Source organism: Homo sapiens, chromosome 1 (assembly GCF_000001405.40).
Source record: "Homo sapiens chromosome 1, GRCh38.p14 Primary Assembly".
In the NCBI taxonomy this organism is placed as follows: Eukaryota; Metazoa; Chordata; class Mammalia; order Primates; family Hominidae; genus Homo; species Homo sapiens.
The window spans coordinates 5,085,464-5,110,555 of record NC_000001.11 but is presented as its reverse complement, the minus strand read 5'-3'; the positions used below and the strand labels follow the sequence as shown (position 1 = coordinate 5,110,555).

The 25,092-nt window shown below is 39.0% G+C and overlaps 1 long non-coding RNA gene across 1 annotated transcript; it reads left to right on the top strand.

The window, feature by feature from the left end:
• Nucleotides 1–12,007: 12,007 nt before the first annotated feature.
• LINC02782 (long intergenic non-protein coding RNA 2782) lies at nt 12,008–24,097 on the top strand. Its single transcript, NR_183671.1, has 6 exons — nt 12,008–12,104; nt 12,196–12,282; nt 19,591–19,823; nt 19,929–19,976; nt 22,183–22,305; nt 23,987–24,097. It is a non-coding gene; the product is annotated as a long intergenic non-protein coding RNA 2782 (long non-coding RNA).
• Nucleotides 24,098–25,092: the final 995 nt, after the last annotated feature.

The following is a 25,092-nucleotide window of genomic DNA, read 5'->3' as shown; positions in this document are numbered from 1 at the left end:
AATTCTCTTGACTTCCTTGGCTATTGTTTTAAGCTACTCTTAGCTCCTCACTTATCAACTTGCTCATTTACTTCTGAAGGTTAGCCAGGTGCCTAGAATGTCCCTGGAAGGAATTCAAGATTTTCCTTTATTTCCATGCTTGGGTGGGTCCACAGACCCCAACAAAAGGTCCCTGCTCCATCTCATGAACAGCAGCTTTAGTGTCAGATGTATAATTGTATCATTATCAGTCTCAAGAAAATTCAGTGGCTCTGGCCCTTTAACATGAGATTTAAATTTGCAGAATATGATTTCTAAAGTTCCACGGGGATAAAAATAGCTATTGTGTTTCTTCCTGTTTCTCCAGTTTTTAGAAGGAAAAAAATATTATTCATTTTATAGAGTGCCCAAATATTATAACTCACTGGCTTAAAACTGTGTTTGCATGTTTTGTTAATTGGCAGAGTCCTATTTCCAACTAATTTCTGTGTGAAACCATAAGTGAGATATTTTATCAGTTTAAATATTTTAAAAATTAAAATTAGTCATATTTAGGGATAAATTCAACCACCGAGAAAGATGAGGACATTCTAATAAATATCGAAATTACAATCAGGGATTTTATCTCCGTGGGGCTGCCGTGTCCATCTCGGCATCTCAGTGATTTCGGTCTGTGGGTTTTTTGTTGCACAGTGCGGAGACTATCTGGATGTCTCACCTAATTACTTGTTGCCTTGGTGAAACTCCATTGTGGCCGAGTCGTGCTGGGCAGATGCCTGTTTGTTCTTGCCATTATCTCAGCTTGAACACAAGCTGATTTACAGTTTTTCCGCATCCTCATTCCACCAACCCACCCCTTTCCAAATGAACTATCCCCCAAAGCATGGGCAGGTTGTCCATATTTTACTGAAGCCTTCTTGAAGAAATAAGGAAGTGGATTCACGCTGCAAACCACACAGTAGGAACGTCTTTAAGAAACTTAATGTCCTTTGTTTACTCTTTGCACCTGATTCTCTCATCTAATGATGTCAATGGTCACATATCTCTTTGTCCTATATTTTTTATTTATTTTTTGTCATGTTGGCCAATTCAGCTAATATGATTACAATATTCCGTGCTACATACTGAATGCCCAAATCTCATACTTGGTATTAACTTTAATCGTTCTGTTCCCACTAATTCTTGAGATATTAAATTTATTATATAAATTTTAACTTCTTCTTTGAAATTTATTAAATTTACTACATAAATAATAATATAAATTTGTTATTTTATTAAAAATCAACACCATAAAGCCACCAGCTACATTGCAGTAATAAACATTTACTGTGTTTTGCTCTGCTTAAAAAACAAAACAGAAAAACTCACATAGACATCCCTGCTCACTCAACAGCCCTCTGTGCCTGCAGACCACCCCTCATTCTCTTTCTTGTCTCTCCCTTGCCAGGGTTTCTCCAGCCTTTTAGTCTGAGCGTTTCTCTCTTTCTGTCCTTTCCCCCAGCTTTCTCTCTCCCTCTGGCTCTCTCTCTCTCCCCACTCTCTTTAGTGCAGAAATAATTCAGCTCCTTAGATTCTCTGCCTTTGCATCCCACGCTCTGTCTAATACTAAAGGCCACCACTAGAACATGACTATTTACCCTGAGCAAACATGAAATCCAGTTGAAGAGTCACCTGCCCTCCAAGGCAAGGAGCATTGCAAATAACACATTTATATAGATTTCCGCAACAGATCTGTTGGCTGCTTGAAAAGCAGAGTCATCAGACGTCTTTTTGTTTCAAAGTTTAATCTATGAATGTTATCTATTCTCCTACTCCTTCCGGAGAATATAAAAGTCAAAAAAAGAGCCTGTAAGATTTACAGTAAGTGTCAGAAACACCTATAATGGTATACAATCCGGATACCTGATATTTCCCAAGTGATAGCTGTTGACAAAGTTTGTTTGCTTGGCCAAAATTTAGCCAGGCACATCACCGTACCTCCTTTTAAAATCCAGTTTTAGAAAAGAGCCTTGCTAAGTTAGTTTAGCCAGAATTCCCCACCCTCAATATCTGATTACCCTCAATTGATACCTCATCCTCCACCATCCCCCACGTGATGTCTGACCACCCTGGCCTGCCTTCAGCAAAAATCCTGTTAGGTTGGTTGAGTCAGAATTCCCCTTACCCCAGAACTGAGCCCAATCTGTCTCCTCTACTGCAAAACCCCATTGCAGTGGTCCCCGCACCAACACAATGGTCCTGAGTAAAGTCTTCCCTACTGTGCTTTAACGAGTGTTAACGAATACTTTTTTCTTTGACACGCTACAGGGTCATACATGGATCTAACCAAGCATAAATTCTCTATTGACCATAATACTGTGTACAGAAGTTAACCAGTTTCTACAGTGTTGTGAGAAAGTACATTAAAATGCCCAAATTATAAGTGGATACTTGCAAGGTGCAAACTGCTCAGTCAGTGATATACCTAGAAGTTTAAATGAATGAGGGTTGGGGGAGCAGATCAACTCTCAGCTTACCCAAGTTCATTACCCAAGATAATCTACTGGGAGTGTCTTCAATAAGTTCAATCTTAGTATTGAATACATCTCAATACACACTTTGTTTTTATAATGTTTCAGACTTCAGAATTTCATTTGTAGCACCTCAGAGGTGCTTGTATGCCACCCTGGCATCCCGTAGAATACAGTTGAAGAATAAAAAAAAAGGGATAATTTAAGCCACTGTTCAGCAAATACAGGACTAGAACGAGAATAGGTGTTTCATATATTCACCTTTTAAATGTCATCAATTTTTGGAAAATGGCTCATCTGACTTGTGATATAAAATATATTTTATAAAATAGACATTTTCAGGCAGTGTAGAAATAGATGAAGAATCACTTAGCTAGCACTTGTGAAAATATAATCGAACTTTGCTTTTTGAGTTTGGTGTCAAGAAAACAAAGTTCTTTAAAGTCACTCTTTCTTGGGTTCACTACTGGGATTAATCTGGCAGGTCTGATAGAATGAATTATATGTGACTCATGTATTTCCTGAGCATTTATAACTCTCACAATTTCTTTTAATTACCTTCATGCATGTAAGACAGATTTGTTAGGCACAGAATTTGAGTATACAACATTTACCTTCAAAACCCTATGGACATTGCACACTAAGAAAAGACAATAATTAACTTGATTTTTTTCCTTCTTCTGTTGTCCCTCCCTGGACTCCCTCCGCCTGCCCACTGGGCTGCAATATCTACGACCTTCTCCCTCCTCATTTTCACCTTGGTGACTTCTTTCTCTGTATTTTAGGAGATTGACTCATTTTTTCTTCACATCATTTGTTTAATTTTCCAAATGTCATTTTTGCTCTTTATTCCCTCCAGAGCTGATTTTGATTGTACCATTTGACAAGATTTTATAAATTGCGAAATGTAGTATGGCTACAAAAAAAGTGGATGAAATATGAATGGATGATTAAAAGTGCTAATGAAGTGCTAATGTAACATGAATATTAATTTACCCACCAGTGAAGCCAAGAAATAGCTCATAGTCATGAATGACTCTGCCCCTTGAAATGTGTTCTTTCTGGTCTCAATCCTCTGTTTACACCTCCCTTTTATAACCATACCCCAAATTTTCTGTTTACCTTTCCCTTGGTTTGATGTATATATACATATGTATTACTTAGTTATTCCTGTATTTATTTTTGTCAGTTTTGAAACTGTATGTATACAAGTAGACTAATACTCTGTGTATGCTTCTATGAATTTATTCTTTTACTTTGCATAAAGACTTGTCCATATTGATGCACATGGCTGTAGTTTATCATTCTTACTATTACACACTCAATGGTAGGTGGCAAGTGCCTGTAGTTCCAGCTACTTCATTTAACAACTGGCTCTCTAGGTAACCAAAGCTCTGATTTGTACTGTTTACCCATTTCCATGGTGTAAATACCTCCAGCACAGCTGATTTCAAGCCACAATATAAAGCCACTTTAAGCAGAGTTGGGAAGAGAGGTACACAATTGGCTCTTGCAAGACAGGATGAACTGGCTCAAGCTATCACTCTACATGAGTATTTCACTGTGACAATCTACAACTTATTTATCCATTCTGCAGTTGATGGAGGGCTGGGTTGTTCTTAATTTTGCTGCTATTATAAACAATGTTATTAAAAACAGGTTTGGCTATGCTTCCAGTGCATAGGTACAAGTTTCTTCACGATCTAAACTTGTCAGAGGCTATGAGCATGTTCAATTTATGGGTATATAAATTTATATAAAATATAAACTAGGTAGTTTATATTTTGGATGCTGTTGCAAATATCTTTTTAAACCTAAATTTCTGATAGAAATTTAGAAATGCAATAGAATTTGCCTATAGATTTTATATCTAGAAATTTTTACTAATTTCTTCTGGTAATTTAGGTATTTAATCTGTGCATTCCTTCAATTTTCAATTTCAGCCTTCTTTGTCAATACTGTCATAAAGAGTCTGGCTCTATTTTTGATGCTTGCTCCCAGATTTAACAGTACCTCTCTGACTTCCTCTTCTACCCTATGTCTGAGATCCGAGCAAGCTGATAAAAAGACAATGGCCTTTCCAGGGCCAATGGTGCAGATCAACAATTCTGTCTCCTTTCCCACATTCTGTGGTCTCTCACAGTTAGGCACAGCCCTGTGACAAGTTTCAGCCAATGGCTGTGAGTGGAAATAAGTTGTGTCAGTTAACCAAAGAATAGAGGAACCAGCACTCCACTTCCAGCTATATTTCCCTTGCTGCTGGGATCCATTATGGATGATGTATCCACTGTCAGCGCCAGTCCCTGAGTGACTGGGGTGGTGAAGGACACCTTCCACTTTCTCACTGGTCATGTTGTGTGAGGCAGAAATAAACCTGTGAGGTTTAAGTACCAATTTCATTCAGGCTTAATAAATACACATTTATATAAGTCTTGACATAAGGCTAGGTTTATTATTTATTCTTTAAGAGTACCTTCACTATCTGGAGACATTTTTACTTCCTTGTAAATTTAACATTCATCTTTCTATGTTCCATAAAAAACCTTGGAAGAGTTTTGAATAGAGTTTAATTTGGGCAAAACTGAGAGGTGGTTATTCAATCTGTAAAAAATATCTTTTATTAAAATTCTATAATTTTTCTCTCTGAAAAAATTTTATAATTTTGTTAGGTTTATTTCTAGGTAGTTTATATTTTGGATGCTGTTGCAAATATCTTTTTGAATCTAAATTTCTGATAGAAATTTAGAAATACAATAGAATTTGCCTATAGATTTTATATCTAGAAATTTTTACTAATTTCTTCTGGTAATTTGGGTATTTAATCTGTGCATTGCTTCAATTTTCAATTTCAGCCTTCTTTGTCAATACTGTCATAAAGAGTCTGGCTCTATTTTTGATGTTTGCTCCCAGATTTAACAGTACCTCTCTGACTTCCTCTTCTACCCTATGTCTGAGATCCAAGCAAGCTGATAAAAAGCCCTGGGTGCTCTATCCTTTGTCACCAGCTGTGAAGTTCAAGCCACTAGGCCCCCAGCCCCACCTATATCAATGTTCAGATTAGTTTTATCACATAACTACAATAAAAACCCCAGGTCAAGGCAGGGCGCAGTGGCTAATGCCTGTAATCCCAGCATTTTGGGAGGCTGAGGCGGGAGAATTACTTGAGCCCAGGAGTTTGAGACCAGCCTGGGCAACATAGTGAGAGCTGGTCTCTACAAAAAACACATTAGCCAGGTGTGGTGGTGCGTGCCTGTAGTCCCAGTTACTTGAGAGGCCAAAGTGGGAGGATCATTTGAGCCCAGGGAGTTGAGGCTACAGTGAGCTGTGATCATACCACTGCATTCTAGCAAGGGCAACAGTGTGAGACCCTGTCTCAAAAATAAATAAATAAACAAGCCCAGGCTCTGCTCTCCCCAGAAAGCCTCGATAAGTGAGGAATAAGCCTCCCATACCCTATGTGTACAGGCATGGTGCTATCCATCCCCATTGTGAATCTCAACCACATTTTCAATAGGGAGCTCATGGCCTCTCTGCAGGGTAACTACAACACAGCAACATTTTTGTTTCTTTCATTCCAATTTTTATGTCTTTATTTTTCGTGCCTTATTGAACTGACCAAACTTCTTACTTATAAAGTTAGAAATACAAGTGGAACAGTGAACATCATGATCTATTTCTTCACCATTAAGAATAAAATTTGCTATAATATTTTTTTAAGTTACTCTCTACCAAATTAAAGAAGTTCCTGGATTTTCTAAGTTTGGTATGAACTTTTGTCATGACTTGATGTTAGAAGTTATCAAAAAGTTTTTTTCTGCGTCTGGTGGAATAATCATATGATTGTTTTTAGTCTATGAATGTGGTAAAACGCCTTAGGTAATTTCTCAATACTGAATCCACCTTGCATTTCTGAGATAAGTCCAAGTTGTTTGTGGTTTATTGTAATTTTAAATCATGCTGGATTAAGTTTATTAATATTTTGTTTAGGATTTAAAAAAAAAAGATGGGGCTGTAACCTTCTTTATACTGTTTGATACAGATGTTGCAATTATGGTCGTGCTAGTCTCCTCAAATAAATTTGCAGGCATTTTATCTTTTTCCAAAGTTTGATATATTTTAAACTTGGAATTATTGCTTCTTAAATATTTGCTGTGGGATTTTTCATTTTTCATTTGTTTACAATTTTAAACGTATTGGAATGTGTGTGTGTGTGTGTGTGTTTTTTGAGATGGAGTCTCACTATGCTGCCCAGGTTGGAATGCAGTGGCACAATCTTGGCTCACTGCAAACTCCACCTCACAGGTTCAAGTGATTCGCCTGCCACAGCCTCCTGAGAAGCTGGGATTACAGGTGCCCAGCACCACACCCAGCTAATTTTTGTATTTTTAGTAGAGACAGGGTTTCACCATGTTGGCCAGGCTGCTCTTGAGCTCCTGACCTCAGGTGACCTGTCTGCCTTGGCCTCCCAAAGTGCTGGCATTACAAGTGTGAGCCACTGCACGCAGCCTGCAATGAATATATTCATACTATTTTCTTATTAGTTTTCATATCATAATTTTATCCTTAATATTTTTTATTTGTACTTTTTCCATCTCCTACATGAACCTTGCCAAAAATGACCAGTTCTATTAGACATATTTAAAAACCAACTGTATTAGTCTGTTCTCACATTGTTATAAAGAACTACCTGAGACTGGAAAGTTTATAAAGAAAAGAGGTTTAATTGACTCAAAGTTCCACAGGCTGTACAGGAGGCATGGCTTGGGAAGCCTCAGGAAACTTACAATCATGGCAGAAGGTGAAGGGGAAGCAAGCACATCTTCACACAGCGACAGGAGAGACAGCATGAAGGGGGAGGGGCTACACACTTTCAAACAACCAGATCTTGTGAGAACTCTATCATGAGACAGCACTAGGGAGATGATGCTAGACCATTAGAAACCACCCTCATGATCCAATCACCTTTCATCAGGCCCCACCTCCAACACTCAGAATCACAATTCAACATGAGATTTGGGTGGGGACAGAAAGCCAAACCATATCACTGGCATTTTCAGCTTTGTTGAGTTCCCATATGCTTATTTTCTAATTTTTAATTTCTTATTTCATATTTTAATATCTTACATAAGCTTATTTTATATTTATTCTATTATTCTTTCTCTGCTTTCCTAAGATAAATTATTTTCTAATTAATTTTCAGACTTTCTTCTATTCTAATATCATTCTTTATGGCTTTATATAGATGGACCTAGCATGTTTTGATATGAAGTATTTTTATTATATATCTAGTCCACATCTATTCTAATTTCTATTATGGCTTATTCTATCATTAACAAGTTATTTATTAGTGCATTTCTTGATTTCTAGACATATAAAATTTTCATAGTTATTTTTAAAAATTGATTTCTAGGCTAGGTGCTGTGGCTCATGCCTGTAATCCTGGCATTTTGGGAGGCTGAAGCAGGTGGATCACCTGAGGTCAGGAGTTCGAGGCCAGCCTGACCAACATGGCGAAACCCCGTCTCTACTAGTAATACAAAAAAATTAGCTGGGTGTGGTGGCACGTGCCTGTAATCCCAGCTACTCAGGAGGCTGATGCAGGATAATCGCTTGAACCCGGGAGGTGGTATATTAATCCTTTGTTGTTTATGGAGATTTAGTTTACAATTTATGTGTTTGCAAAGACTATGTTTTCTCTTGATTGCAGAATTCTATATGTCTCTTAGGTCAGATTTTAAAGATCAGCTTATTCAAATAGGCTACATATGAACTACTTTTTAGTCAGAGTATTCTATCAATTCCCAAAAAAGTGTTAAAAGTCTCCCAGTATGATTTTGTATTTGTGTGTTTCTCTTTTAATTGTTTTTTCCAAATTTTGCTTATGTATTATGACCTATGGTATTAGGCACATATAGTACCTATGGTATTAGGTACATATAATTGCCCCCCTTATCCATGGAGGATCCATCTCAAGACCCCAGAGGGTGCCCAAAACTGTGGGCAGTTCCAAATCTTATATACACAATACATTTTTCTATACATATATTCTGTATTAGTCCATTTTCATACTGCTATAAAGAAATACCCAAGACTGGGTAATTTATAAAGAAAAAGAGGTTTAATGGACTCACAGTCCCACATGGCTGGGGAGGGCTCACAATCATGGTGGAAGGCAAAGGAGCAAAGCCGTGTCTGACATGGTGGCAGGCAAGAGAGCTTGTGAAGGGGATGTGCCCTTTATAAGTCTCTCATGAGACTTACTGGCTATCACCAGAACAGCATGGGAAAAACCCGCCCCCATGATTCAATTACCTCCCACCAGCTCTGTCCATGACACATGGGGATTATGGGAGCTACGATTCAAGATGAGATTTGGGTGGGGACACAGTCAAACCATATTACATACATACAATAAAGTTTAATTTATAAATTAGACACAGTAAAAGATTAAGGACAATAACAAATAATAAATAGAGCATGTATAACAATATACTGTAGTAAAAGTTAAGTGAATGTGCTCTCTCTCTCTCAAAATACCTTATTGTACTGCACTCACCTTTCTTCTTGTGCTGATGTGAGATACCTCTGTGATGAGATAAAATGAGGTGAATGATGTAGGCATTGTGATGTTGTGTTAGGCTACAGTTGACTTTCTGATGCTCAGTCAGAAGAAGGATCATCTGCCCTGGGTGATTCTGGGTCCTTGGGCCATGAGGATATTGATGGTTGGATGTCAGGAGCAGATGATGTTGATGATTAATGGGGATTAATGTATACAGTGTGGATATCTCTTCCCATGTTACTCATCTATTCCTAATCACCTGAGGCACTGTTCCATGTCATTGTCACCTTGGAACCCAAGTTAACAGGGCAGGTTCTCTCTGGCCATCATGGTGGCTCTATGATATAGATGACATAGCGGTCACATGCTCACTCCTAAGGCTTTCAATCAAAAGCGGTGCATATCACTCTGCCCACCTCCCATTAGCCAGAGGAGGTCAAATGACCATGCCTTAGTAAAACATAATGGAGAGGTAAAATCCTATGGCAAGAAAAGACAGAACATTTGTGAACTATAATCAAAATCTATTTTTCATATTTGTGTACTAATTCTCAAGTGAGAAGAATTTTTACTGGGCTTCATATTCACACGCAAACATGTTGCATTGCTTTCGATCCCATTATTTCTCAACCTAAGTGTAATTTGGAATTCATCCTAAGAAGTACAGATGGAAGGGGAGAAAATGAACATAGATTATAGTCAAATTCTCAGTGTCATTCTTGTAAAGTAGCTCTTCTATGCTGAGATGAAATTTTCTCTTGTCCCTGTTACCTGCAGTCAACACCTGCCAGGATATAGGATCCATTCCCAAAGCGACCCCTGCCTACAGTCTTACCTAATTTCTGTCCTCTCAGTTCTTGCTAGAGAGGGTAGAAATACCTCTATGCCTGACAAAAGAAGCTCCCCCACAGTAAGGGGATGGCTGTCCAATTTTCTAGCTGATAAAGCAGAAGGCATTTATGTAAAAGTTGCCAGTCACTTTCAAATAATAAGACTTGTTTATTAATTTTTAGTGACCCTGCAAAGTTGATTTACTATATTTACTATTTTTTCCAACCCATTATCATTAGCTTTGGAAGTAGAGAAACTTGCCCCCAGATTCTAGAAAATGTTGATAATCAAATCCAGTTCTTGGTGGTAGCATGAATTTTCTTCCTGCTTAGTGCCGTCCAAACTCTTGGTGAGAAGCTTTTTGCCAGATGTCGTTTTAAACCAGAAGCCACTGCAAGCCTGGAAAAATCAGCTTCCTTGGGGTGTTTGAGATGTAATCGAAAGGACTATTTCCAGAAGCACTTCCATGTGTAAAACAGCATATGGCCGGTGCTTCAGCCTGCCTGGAGGGTGTTGGTGTCAGCATGAACTCCCATGCCCACAGTGGAGGTTGTATACCCAGTGAGAGGGACTTCAATATCAATGTGTTGAGGTGATTATGATGATAGTGGTGTGTCATAATGGTGATGATGATGTAACCAACAAGGTTCTTCCATATTGATGTTTCTCTATGTTGCTGCACCTAGGGTTCAATAATTACTTGCAAGACAATGTCAGATGAGTCCTCTCAATGCAGTTACTTTAATTAAATGGAACTTCTGATATTTTGGTTTTCCTCCCTGTTTGAACCACTGCTGGAACTAATGGCTACTAATTACACGCAGTGTTTACAAGAGACACCTAGAGGCCCTGACAGGTGGCAGTGGAGAGCCCTTTAGTTGAAGGACAAGAGGAACAGGTTGAGCTGAACCCAGGAACAGGCTCATTGGCTGCAACCTGAGCCTCCCATCTTGCAAATATTTATGTGGATAGCTGAGGTATCAGGATGAAGCAATCGTTGGCACTTCCCTTCCCATTTTAAAGATGACAAACAAATAGCTCTTCTGACAGCTGGGAGCTTGAAGAACCATATAGAAAACAAACAGTCAGGCTTTGAGGACTGGAGAGTTTTCAAAAGGAAAGCAAAAAGGCCCAAAAGGAGATTAGAATGAGAAGAGAGAGAAGCACAATGCTTCAAGGAAGGTTAAGATCTTCAGCCCCGGCATGTTGAAATACTGATGGATAATTGTAATTAGCTTTCAGAATTTTTAATTATAGAAGTGGTATAAAAAATCACCCGACCCAGCTTCACTAATGAGAGTCCTTGTGCTGAGACACACAGGGAGGCTTTTGTTAGGTGCCTTTGAAAATGTGGCTGTTAATTAGGTGTCTTGCAGAGGCAGGATTGCAGCAGAAGAGGCAACATTTATACACTGAAATTCGACTCATCAAAAGAGGCAGCCAATACCATTAAAAGGACTCAAAGGAAAAGCCAGACATTGGTGGGCTTTGGTTTTGACTATCAGATTGTGCAGAGTCACTCGTCTCAAAAGTGACAAAGCCATAGTGCACACCCCAGTCTTTCTGACCCCGAAGCTCCTGCTGTTTCTAATACACTGAACTGTTTTGCACAAACAGGCAAGCAACACGTATCGGCCATCTGGTCAGAATGCTCTCTCCAGCACTTTTCTTGTGAATCAGCTGCTTGGGTGTTGTGTAAAAAATGGAACATTCTACAGATTGTCTGTCTTCTAAAACACAGAAATAACAGGAATCTCATTGATTGAATGCCACAGAATCTGGAAATCATTGGTCCTCTCTTGGAAGTCTTTTTACTTTTATCTAGGTCCTAATTTTCCTATACTTTATCATTGATTTTTTTCATATAATATGCCAGCTAAATGGGATATCTTTTTTTTTCTTTTTTTGAGACGGAGTCTCACTCTGTCACCCAGGCTGGAGTGCAGTGGTGCGATCTCGGCTCACTGCAAGCTCTGCCTCCCGGGTTCACGCCACTCTCCTGCCTCAGCCTCCTGAGTAGCTGGGACTACAGGTGCCCACCACCACGCCTGGTTAATTTTTTTGTATTTTTAGTGGAGATGGAGTTTCACCGTGTTAGCCAGGATGGTCTTGATCTTCTGTCCTCGTGATCCACCCGCCTCGGCCTCCCAAAGTGCTGGGATTACAGGCGTGAGCCACCGCGCCCAGCCTAAATGGGACATCTTTTAACACTCCTTCCAGAGGTATTTAGTGAAGGAAAGAGGTATTTATTGAAGGATCAAAGACCTCCCGTCAGCCCCCTATATCTATGCTTTTTTCTTTCTGTCTTAAAAGAAACCTATATATTAGCTCGGCAGGGGCACACTGTTTCCAGCCTGTGCGGCAGCTAGGTGTGACCATGTGACCAAGTCCTGACCAATGGTGAGTAAGCGGCAATATGGATGCCAATTCTAGCTTGTGCCATAAAAATAAGGGGAACACCCTCCCATGTTGTCCCTTTTCCCTAACCCCACTAGCTGGAATGTGGGTGGGTCATGGGTCAATTTCCAGCAGCCATCCTGAATCACGAGAAGCTGAACGGCTGAAATCACAGAGGTCACTGGAGGGTGGAGCACCCCAGAAAGGGTAGGAGGCTCCACACTTATCTGGAAAGGGTGGAAAGGATGATGGAATGAGACAGAAAGAGCCTGCACCCTTGATAATAGTGGGACCACCCCTGGGCTGCAATTAGAACTTGAGAAAAATGTGCTGTCTTATTTAAGCACACTGATATGGTTTGGGTCTGTGTACTCACCCAAACCTCATGTCAGATTGTAATCTCCAGTGATAGAGAAGGGGCCTCGTGGGAGGTGACTGGATCATGGGGGTGGATTTCCCCTTGCTCTTCTCGTGATAGTGAGTGAGTTCTCACAAGATCTGGTTGTTTAAAAGTGTGCAGGACCTCCTCCTTCACTCTCTTTTCCTCCTTCTCCGGCCACATGAAACGTGCCTCCTTCCCCTTCACCTTCCGCCATGATTGCAAGTTTCCGGAGGCCTCCCCAGTCATGTTTCCTCTACAGCCTGTGGAACTCTCAATTAAACCTCTTTTCTTTTTTCTTTTTTTTTGAGACATAGTTTCGCTCTTGTTACCCAGGCTGGAGTGCAACGGCGCAGTCTCGGCCCACTGCAAATTCCGCCTCCCAGGTTCATGTGATTCTCCTGCCTCAGCCTCTTGAGTAGCTGGGATTGCAGGTGTCCGCCACACCTAGCTAATTTTTTTTGTATTTTTTTTTTTTTTTTTTTTTAGTAGAGATGGGGTTTCACCGTGTTAGCCAGGCTGGTCTCAAACCCCTGATCTCAGGTGATTTGCCTGCCTCAGCCGCCCAAAGTGCTGAGATTACAGGCACGAATCACTATGCCTGCCCTAAACCTCTTTTATTTGTGAATTACCCAGTCTCAGGTAGTTCTTTATAGCAATGTGAGAACAGACTAATACACCACTCTTATTTTGGGTCTTTTTGTAACAGCAGCCAAGGCTGCATCCTAACTATTAAAGGTTGGCTTATCAGTAATGCCACTGTACCTATTAACCTTGAAGACAAAGTCCATTTTATTAAGGCTGCCTTACATTTATCAAATAAGGTTTGTCCTTGAGTCCTAAGAATAACTATATTAAGAATAGGGAAAAAACAAAGTGCTTCTTCTATTCTCTACTCTCACACACCGTTCTACACAATGCTTCTAACACTAGATGTGTGGAGAGTTTTCTCTACACACCAAGCAAGCAATTCTCAAGCAGACATCTGCTGGGTGCTCCATAATTCAATTCTGACACTATCTCCCTGGAGATAGTGTCAGGTCTCATAGGTCAAGGGCTCAATTTTATAAGGTTGCCCCCACTCGAAATGCCAATCACAGGCAGTATAAAAAGTTGTCACCTATACTTCTGAGTGACTGGCTATAAACTGGGGTTCCCATAACCCCCTCCTCAGGTTTGATTAATTTGCTAGAGCAGCTCACATAACTCAGGGCAATGCTTTACTTACTTTTATCCATTTATCATAAAGGATAAGACATAGGATGCAGATGAACAAGCAGAGTGATGCACCAGGCGTGGTATAGGGAGCGGCATGGGGTATCAATGCACTTTCTGGGGCGCTTCACCCTCCAAGGACCTTCATGGGTTCAGCTACTCAGAACCTCACCTGAATCCTTTCCTTTTGGGTTTTTATGGAGGTTTCATAATGTAGGGTAGGCATGATTGATTACATTGTTGGCCACTGATGATCAGCTTGACCTTCAGCCTCTCTCCTCTCTCAGGAGCTTGGGGGAGGATTGAGACTGAAAGTTCCAAGTCTCTAAGCACATGATTGGTTCCCCTGACACGCAGCCCCACATCGTGAGGCTATCTCAGGGCTCACTATGTTCTCTTTATGTTTAATGCATTTGTGTCAGATTTAAGACAGTGTTCTCTATCCCAAGTTAATGAATATTTCCTAACATTATTTTCCAGAGTTTTATTATTTTACCTTTCACATTCAGATCTATAATCCACCTGAAAGTAATTTTTATGGCATGATATGTGGATTACATTTTACTTATTTTTTTCCAAATACAAATCGAAGTGTTCAGTTGCTTCCTCACACTTCCTCCCACCAATATCTCATCTCCTCTTTTCTCTCCCAAGATAACCATTTTTCCCATTTCTTTCTTTCTTTCTTTTTTTTTTTTTTTTTTGAGATGGAGTCTCGCTCTGTCGCCCAGGCTGGAGTGCAGTGGCGTGATCTCGGCTCACTGCAAGCTCCGCCTCCCAGGTTCACGCCATTCTCCTGCCTCAGCCTTCCGAGTAGCATTTTTCCCATTTCTAACACCTTAGTGCAGCTTTTCAGTTTTGAACTTTATATAAATGAAACCGTGAAGTATATTTTCCTTTGTGTTTAGCCTCCCTCATTCAACATCATGTTTGTAAGATCCGTTCATGTGTTGGATGAAGTTTGGATTGTTCATTGTCTTCGCTATAGAGTATTTCATTCTCTAATTATTCTAATTTAATTGTCCATTCTAACACCAATACTCTTTTGGATTGCTTCCCTTTAGAGGCTCTTATAAATAGTACTTCTGTGAACATTCATGTAGATGTCTTGTGCTAAGCTTGTGAATGTATTTCTGTACTGTGTATATCTAAAAGAGAAATTGTTAGAATATCACATACATATGACTTAAATAGGTAATGTTAAACAGTTTTCTAAAGTGGCTATACTAGTTTACACCTCCACCTGTAGTGTATGAGAATTTGAGTTGGTATTGTCAGAAATTTTAATTTTAGTTATTCTGGCAGGTGTGAAGTAGTGTCACATTATGGTTTTAATCTTCATTTCTCTGATGTCTTGTGAAGTCAAACACCTTTTCCAATGTTTCCAACCCTTGGATTTTTTCTTAATGACATATCTATGCAAGTATTTTGCACCTTTTTATTTCGGTTGCCTGGCTTTATTTTTATATTAATATTAAAGGGTCCTTTATATTGTCTGTGGCTTGTTTCACTCTCTTTACAATATTTTTGGATGAACAAAACTTCTTAATTTTAATATAGTTCATTTTCATTCATTCTCTTTATGTTTAATGCATTTGTGTCAGATTTAAGACGGTGTTCTTATTCCAAGTTAATGAATATTTCCTAACTTTATTTTCCAGAGTTTTATTATTTTACCTTTCACATTTAGACCTATAATCCAACTGAATGGAATTTTTTTATGGCATGATATGTGGATTACATTTTACTTATTTTTTTCCAAATACAAATCCATTTGACTCAACACAATTTGTTGAAAAAAATTATTTTCTGCCACTGTTCTGCAATGCTACCTTTTTTCATAAATTAAGTGTCCATACATGCATAATCTCTTCCTGCATTCCACTCTGCTTCACTGGTCTTGGGCCAGTTCCACACTGTCTTAATCATGGTAACTTTATAAGTCTTTGTATATAGTAAAGCAATGTCCCTACCTTGGCCTTCTTCAAAAGTGTCTTGGCTCTTTCTATCCTTTCTTCTTCTTTGAGTTACTGAAAAAGTTGTTCCACAGTTTCTCAAGGTGATTATACATTTCTGAATTTTTTATAGTTCTATTTATTTTGCTTTGAAGCTTATTCATAAGTGATAGAATTTTGTAAGCTTCACACTTTCATTAAAAATTGATGCTTTTCTCATAATAAAATGTCTTTGTATCTCTAACAATGTCTTTTGACTTTAAATTTACTTTTCTTTTATTAATATAGCTACCCAAGTTTTCTTTTGTTAATCTTGCCTGGTTAATTTTTATACTTTTACTTTCAAACTTTCTGTAGTCATACTTTATTGATTTCATATTTTATCAGTAAAGTATGAAAATCATACTTTATTGATCATATTGTACTGATGTATTATTCTCTAAGTAGCACGTTGCTATTTATGTAGTCCATTTACGTTTAATGTAAAACAGATAATTAGGTTTTAAATTAATCATATTATTAGCTCTTTTCTATTGTTCCAGCTAGCTATGTTTCTTTGTCTGCCCTTTTTCATCTTCCTTTGGATTTGTTAAGATTTTTTTAAATTTCTTTCTTCCCTCCCCCGTTTTGCTAAGTTGTTACAAATATCTTACTGTTCTTTAACTGGTTAATTAAAGAATATAATCTGCATCCTTGTCTTATCAAAGTTTAATTATTAGTTTGTACTTTTATCTCTTCTTGGACAATGCAAAACTCTAATAATACTTTAACTTCATTAGTTCTTCTCCTGAATTATATGCTATTATCTCTGTGCATTTTAATTATATATATACACATGTATCTTCATCTTAGTGTTTCCTTTGATTAAGGCCTTTATCAGGCCTTAATCAAAATTTTATGATTTTTATTTGCATAAAATTTCTTCATTCTTGAAAATATTCTCACTCCTCATAGAATCTTAGGTTTACACTTTTTTGTCAGCACATTGGATGAATGTGTCATTGCATTGTCTTCTATGATAGTTTCTTCTGTGATATTAGCTGTCAGTCTAATTTTGACTGCTTTAAATGTAATGTGTTTCCTTTTTTCTAGCTTGTTTTTAGAGGGTTTTTTTGTTCTTTGTTTTTTGATTCCAGTAGCTTTATCCTGATACACCTATGTGTCATTTCATTTTTATTTATTCTGCTGTTACTTTTATTTATTTTTAGGGCTTCATGGATTTATGGCTTGATGTCTTTCATTAGTCCTATGACATTCTCAGAAGATCTTTCCAAATATTGCTTCTAATCCATGCTGCCCCTTTTCTTGCTCTGGGGCTCCAGTTTCAGATAATTATAAGTGCTTTTTTATATCCCTTAGCCTCTGTTTTGTGTTTTCATTCCTTTTGTCACTCTTCACATTTCATTCTGGATATTTTCTTCTGACCAATTTTCCAAAACTCTGGTTCTCTGGATATTTTCTTCTGACCAATTTTCCAAAGCTCTGGTTCTCTTTTCAGTTGTGTTTAATCGATTTCTGACATCATCCATTGAGTTTTTAATATTGATCATTGTATTTTTAAGTTTCCATTTGATTCTTTCTTATGGTTTTCATTTCTTTGTCAAAAATGCTCAATCTTGCTGTTTTATTTCTTGAACTAATAATTACAGTTATAGGTCAGTATCTGGTACTTCCTTTCCAGGTTCCCTTATGGGTCTATTTCTTATATCTGTTGTTTCTCTTGGTTTTTATTTTAATGTTGTCCAGGTTTTTTCTCAACTCAGTTTTTATTATTACTATTAAGAGTTAAGAATTGTGCCCCAAAACTTTGTAGACATAATTTGTGGCCTTAGATGATGCTAATTTCCTCCACAAAGATATACACTATTTCTGGTAAGCAGTTTGGGACACTAGTAATTAAGGTTTAACACAATCCAATTTTAGAGTCTGAACATGATGAAAAGCAAGGCTTAGTCCCTGAGAGAGATAACTTACTTACAACCCAGCCTTACTGCTATTAATAGCCTATAGTCCTACAGGGTCTCAATACCAAGGAGATGGATTTCCAAGGGCTCCCCAGAGTGGAGCCTGTGTTATAATAAGAAGAAATATATTTGTGTGTTTTTGTTCTGTTTTTGTTTTTTTTGTCCCTGGTTCCTAGCACAGAGTTTTTAAACCCTTGGAATTTCCTGAGTGATAAAAATGTCTTGTTCCTCATGATGAACTCCTTTGGATTACCTGAGTTTATGCTAATGAGGTGACTTATGCTATGACCCCTAGATAGCCTCAGCATGGGGCTGGTTAGTAGAAAGAGCATGTAATTAGAGGGGTAAAACTTTCAGCCCCACCCATCACCTTCTGGGAAGGAAGAGGGTACTGGAGACTAAGCTCTATAAAAACTCTTGAACAAGGAGATTTTGGTAAGCTTCTGGGTTGGTGCTTGGGGGTGTCATGCCCAGAGAAAGCATGAAAGCTTCATACATATACCCTCTCCATACCATACCTTGCCCTCTGCATTGCCTCCATCTAAAGTGTTCCTGAGTTGTATCCTTTACCATAAGCCAGTAAATGTAAATAAATGGTTTCCCTGATTTCTGCAAGCTATTCTAGCAAATTATTAAACCTTAAGAAGGAGTCATGGGAGTCACCCATTTTGTAGCTGGTTGATCAGTAGTAGGAGAGGTCTGGACTTGCAATTGACATCTGAAGTGGGGAGGTAGTTTTATGGGACTGAGCACTTAACTCATGGTATGTGAGGCTAACTCTAAGTAGATAATTTCAGAAATGAATTAAATTGTCAGACACCTAGCTGATATCAGAGAATCTGCTGGAGAGGGAAAAAACCCCACACATGTGATATCAGAAGTGTTGTATGAGTGTAGAGAAACTGATTTTTCAGAGCTGTCAACTGTGATTTTTGCTTCTCCATTCCCTTGTGACTCTAAACAATGCTGTTCAGCTTCTTAATGTCTCAACTACCTCTTCCAAATGGGCAGACACCACTTGTGAAAAAGGAATTCTAAATGCCAAGCTTACTTCTATGGGTTTCTTTCCTTCTCTAAATTTTATTCTCCATAATTCCTCACTGTATTGTTAGTTCAAACTCTTCTGTTAATATTTTCCCAGATTTTCTATTTTTAGCAAGAAAAATTGACTCCAGTTTCCAGTTCCATCATTACAAAAAGAGAAAATCCCTGTTTAGCTCACTTTAAGCCAGCCTTGACCAACCATACATTATCACAAACATACCTTTTCCATGGAAATTTTGTTAAGGTATTGTAGAATGCAGTTTTGGAAAAAGTTTATGTAACTTATCTAGCATTTGGAGTAAAATTTTCCTATGGCATTTGGGAATTAAAAATGATTCAAAATATTATATTAACCATTTTTCTTTCTGAGAAAACACTGAACATTATGAACATTATTTTTTCTTAATAAGCTAAGGTCATTAGTGTTTGCATACTGCTGTTCATATTGTAATACTTACATACATTCCTATCTATATTTTTGTTGTCATCGAGTTATATTTTATTCACTATGCATATGCTGAGAAAATACTGAGAGTTATTTCTTTTATTCAATGGACCAAGGTCATGATTATTAGCATCAGTTATTACAGCTTTAAAACAGGGCTGCATTCAAGGGCCACTGTGGCTTCTTCATCTGCAGCATTTATTCAGCACTTTATATGTGTGAGACACTATCCTGAGGAATCTGTTCTTACTCATGTAATCCCTACAATGGCCCAATGAAACAAGTGCTGTTATTATTCCTGATTTTCAGATAAAAGGTGGAGACTACAAAGAGGTTTAGTAACACACCAGGTTGCACCCCTCACAAAGGAGGGCAGATGCCCACCTCTCATCACAGGCCCATGCTGGGGCCATGCACACAGATTACCTGGAATGACTGGCCCACAGAACCCATCATTGGATCACAGGCCCATGCTGGGGCCATGCGCACAGATTACCTGGAATGACTGGCCCACAGACTCCATCACTTGGGGGTGTTTGATGGTTAGTTTTCATTTCTCATCTCTCTCTATTTTTGTTGGGTGTCTATCATTGAATTTCTAAAAGTTAAGTACTCACACAATATGTCTGCATTTGTCCCACACACAGAGAGAGACAAAGTGAGAAGGCGAGTTAAATACGTTTTGATGAAGATAGGTAGGTACCCTCCTTTGATTAAAATACAGAGTTTTAGTGACTAAACATCTGCTTTAGTTGCTTATAGGGCTTTGCTTTGTTTTTGTTTTGCTTACTTCCTCATTTTTTTAAGTTTAACAATTGTTATGTTGATTGCATAAAAAAACAGAAGATTAGAGTTTTTGTTCCTTTTTTCTTCGTTTACCACATCTGCATACATATTATACTACGTCTCTTCATTTTGAAAGAAGAATCCCTACAGCAAAAACTTTTGATCTGAAAAGACAGGTTTATGAACACAGTCCAGTTAAATAGCAACCCTGCCTTTAGCACTGCTCATAGCAACCACCTGCCTGCCTTGAGATCTTTTTGGTTTCCAAGACCTGGCAGTTTGAGTCTGCGGTGGAAGGAAATAGGAGAGCATCATTCCAGGCATTATGGATTGGTGTTTATAATGGAGCGTGAGTTGCAGGCAGATACCACACCAAGTTCAAGGGGAATGCAGAAAAGCCAAGGAAGACATTTGTCCTGGTGCCCTAGAGAAACCCTCAAGCCACGGACACAGGAGGGCACATGTTCACTGAATCTTTGCTTACAAGAGTAAACCAGGAAACAGCTCACACACCAGGAAAGGATATGAGGAAATAAATCACAGTATACAAACACAATGAGATTTTTCACATCATTTAGAATATGTTAGTTAATAATAATTCGTAATGAGTAAGATTGTCATGTATCAGAATAGGCAAATGTTTTAAACAAAATGTTGAATTTAAAAATATAGCTTCAGCATAAAAAATATATATAAATATGATATATGTGTAGTTTACATGTATGGTATATGCAGTTGACTGTTAAACAATGTGAGGGTTAGGGGTGTCAATCCCCTGTGCAATTGAAAATCCATGTATAACTTTTTTGTTGTTAAATTGAGACAGGATGTCTCTGTCATCCAGGCTGGAGTGCAGTGGCATGATAATGGCTCACTGTAGCCTCCATCTCTAGGACTGAAGTGATCTTCCCACCTCCAGCCTCCCAAGTAGCTGGGACCACAGATGTGCACCACCATTGTAGAGAAGAAGTCTCCCTATGTTGCTCAGGCTGGTCTTGAACTTCTGGGCTCAAGCGATACTCTAGTCTTGGCCTCCCAAAGTGTTGGGATTACAGGCGTGAGCCACCATGCCTAGCCAAAAATCCATGTATAACTTCTTCTGACTCCCCCAGAACTTAGCTACTAATAGCCTACTGTTTACTGGAAGCCTTACTGATAACATAAACAGTCAATTAACACATATAGCATACATGTATATAACACATGTACCATACATAATACATGTAGCACATTTATGCTACATGTATTCTATACTGTATTCTTACAATAAAGTCAGCTAGAGAAAAAACATTAAGAACACACCGGGGACTGTTGTGGGGTGGGGGGAGGGGGAGGGATAGCATTAGGAGATATACCTAATGCTAAATGACGAGTTAATGGGTGCAGCACACCAACATGGCACATGTATACATATGTAACAAACCTGCACGTTGTGCACATGTACCCTAAAACTTAAAGTATAATAATAATAAAATAAATAAATAAATAAAAAAATTAAGAAAATCATAAGAGAGAGAAAACATATTTACTATTCATTAACTGGAAGTGGACCATTATAAAGGTTTTCATTCTCATTGTCTTCATGTTGAGTAGGCTGAGGAAGAGGAGGAAGAAGAGGAGTTGGTCTCACTGCCTCAGAGGCAGCAGGGGGACCCATGTAGTTCAAACCCCTATTGTTCAAGGGTCAACTATATATATATTGTATATGTCATATATAATATATATATCATATATATCATATATTATGATGATGACAGCATCTTGTTTCTAATTTTAGATTTGGGGAGTACATGTGCAGCTCTGTTACAAGGGTATATTGCATGATGCTAAGCATTGGGCTTCTATTGAAAACCTGTCACCCATATAATGAACATAGCACCACCCAATAGGTAGTTTTTCAGCCCTTTCCCTCTTCCCTTTTTTGGAGTTCCCGGTGTCTATAGTTTCTATTTTTATGTCCATGTGTGTCCCATTGTTTAGCTCTACTTACAAGTGACAACATGTAGTATTTAGTTTTCTGTTTCTGTGTTAATTCACTTAGGATAATAGCCTCCAGCTGCATCCATGTTGCTGAAAATGACATGACTTTTATCTTTTTTTTTTTTTTTTTTTTAGACAGAGCTTCACTCTTGTTGCCCAGGCTGCAGTACAATGGTGCGATCTCAGTTCACCACAACCTCCGCCTCCCGGGTTCAAGTGATTCTCCTGCTTCAGCCTCCTGAGTAGCTGGGATTACAGGCATGCGCCACCACACCTGGCTAATTTTGTATTTTTAGTAGAGATGGGGTTTCTGCACATTGTTCAGGCTGGTCTCGAACTCCCAACCTCAGGCGATCCACCCGCCTTGGTCTCCCAAAGTGCTGGAATTGCAGGTGTCAGCCACCATGGCTGGCTGACTTTGTTCTTTTTTATGGCTGTGTAGTATTCCATGGTGTATATGTACCACATTTTCTTTATTTAATCTGCTGTTGATGGGCACCTGGGTTGATTCCATGTCTTTGCTATTGTGAATTATGCTGTGATGAACTTACAATTGCAGGTGACTTTTTGGTAGAATGATTTGTTTTCCTTTGGGTATATACCCAGAAATGGGATTGTTGGGTTGAATGGTAACTCTATTTTTTTGTTGCTTGAGAAATCTCTAAACTGCTTTCCACAGTGGCTGAACTGATTAGGCATTCCCACCAACAGTATGTTAGCATTCCCTTTTCTCTGCAACCTTGACAACATCTGCTATTTTGTGACTTTTTAATAAAAGCCACTCTGACAGGTGTGAGACGGTATCTCATGGTTTTGATTTGCATCTCTCTGACGATTAGTGATGTTGAGCATTTCTTCATATGTTTGTTGGCCACTTGTATATCTTCTTTTGAGAAGTGTCTGTTCATGTCCTTTGCCCACTTTTTAATGGGGTTGTTTTCTTCTTATGGATTTAAGTTCCTCATGGATTCTGGATATTTGTTCTTCATTGGATGCATAATTTGCAAATATTTTCTCCCATGCCATTGTCTGTTTACTCTGTTGACAGTTTCTTTTGTTGTGTGGAAACTCTTTAGTTTAATTAGGTCCCACTTGTCATTTTTGTTTTTGTTTCATTTATTTTTAAGGACTGAGTCATAAATTCTTTGCCTAGGCCAATGGATGACAACATTTTTCTATGGCTAAAACATACTAAACTGGGCCATATGTATGGATACAGGAATTTATAGTACAAGTATAAAACCATTGATGAGAAGGATCCAAACCTACTCTAATATAGTGGTCATATTTGGAAATAGGCTCAGGCAAGGGTCTCAAGGGAGCTTCAGGCTTGGGGTGGACACAGAGATGCATCACCCAGGCTCCATTCTGGGAGGGCTTTGCTGCCGAGCAGCAGGAAGTGTGTTGGCAGACAGGCCCCGGCTGAAGCTCCTTCAGCGGCAGGCCCAGCAGCCAAACTGCCCTGCTCCAGGTCTCATCTTCCCAGGGCAGCCACACCCAGGGACTGAGCAAGGCAGGGGGACAGAGGCCACTCGCTGCTGGGCGACTTGCTCCAGGGCTCCTGGTCAGTACTCCGTTGAGCTGCCTGGTGGTTCCCTTTCCCCCTCTGCTCAGTTCTGCTCTCTCTCTCATCCCTTCCTTTGGGATCTAGTATCCCAAACTCAGTCTCAGTGACTGCTCTCTGAAAACCCCACCTGCAACAAACTGTATTGGCACTGTTACATTTCTTTAAAACCATTGTTCTAAATATAAACAGTAAATACAGCCATGCAAGTGTGTTCTGTCCTTAGGGAGCTGAAACACACAGACTTGTTTATTTGATCACATCTACATTCACTAGGGAGAAGATCACTAGAGGTTTACATATTTACAGATTTTGAGTTTTATTTTCCTTTTATTAACATAAATACAGTTTTGCTCATTGAAGTTCTTATTTCAGAGCCTGACTTTCTCATCGAAACCATGGCTGCTTGGACCCAGGCTCTCCCCATGAGGTAATAAATGTGCAAGCACTTTGCAGGGAAAATAAGTGCCTGACACCTGACATAAACACGTTTGTTTCCTTTTTATTCTCATCATCATCACCATCATCGTCATCAAAACTACCTAAAAACACAATGATGGAGCAGTGGAGTGAAAATGACAAGGTGTGTGTGTGTGTGTGTGTGTCTGTATGTGTGTGTTGCCATAGTTTCCGGATAGCCTATTAGTCTATGTTAGTCTATTCGTCGGCTTGGGCTGCCCATAACAAAACACCACAGTCTGGGTGACTTAACCCATTTCCCATTTAGGGAAAAAAAAAAAAATTGCAGCTTGCTGCCAGTGCAGTATTCTTGGGGCAAATGGGAAATGGGTTAACAACAGAAATTTATTGTCTCCGTTTTAGAGGCTGGAAGTCTCAGATCCAGGTGCCAGCTGAGAGGTGAGGGCTCTGTTGCTGGCTTACAGACAGCCACCTTCTTGCTGCATGCTCATGTGACCTCTTCTTTTTGTACCTACAGAGAGTGCCCAAGCTCCAGCATCTCTTCTTCTAAGGACACTAATTCCACTGGATTAATTCCACCCTTATGAACTCATTTAACGTTAATGACCTTTTATAGGCTGCATCTCCAAACATAGTCACATGGGGGTTAGAGTTTAAACACACGACTTTGGGAGGGACACAAATGGTGAATACAGAGAGGACTGAGTTTGATTCCCTAAGAAGCAGAATCTAAAGTCTTGAGTTGTTGAAGGTGAAAGCACTGACACTAGAGGAAAGGACAGGATGCGAGGGAGAATGCAGGAGGAGAAGCCTGCTAAATCTTTAGCATAAAAAACACAGTCAGGAAGCTAGAATTCAGAGGGAGACCCATCCATGCCAACCTCCATGATGTCAGGTGTAGCCTTTTGCTTAGTCAGAGAACTTGCCCCTACAGAAGGCTTAACTCCTGCACACGCACCACACAGTAGTAACAAGCCCCCAACACCTCACAGCAAAAATCATCAGTGAAGACAAAGGCAACAAGAAATGCAAGAGCAGAGTCATTTTTGGAGAATGATCTT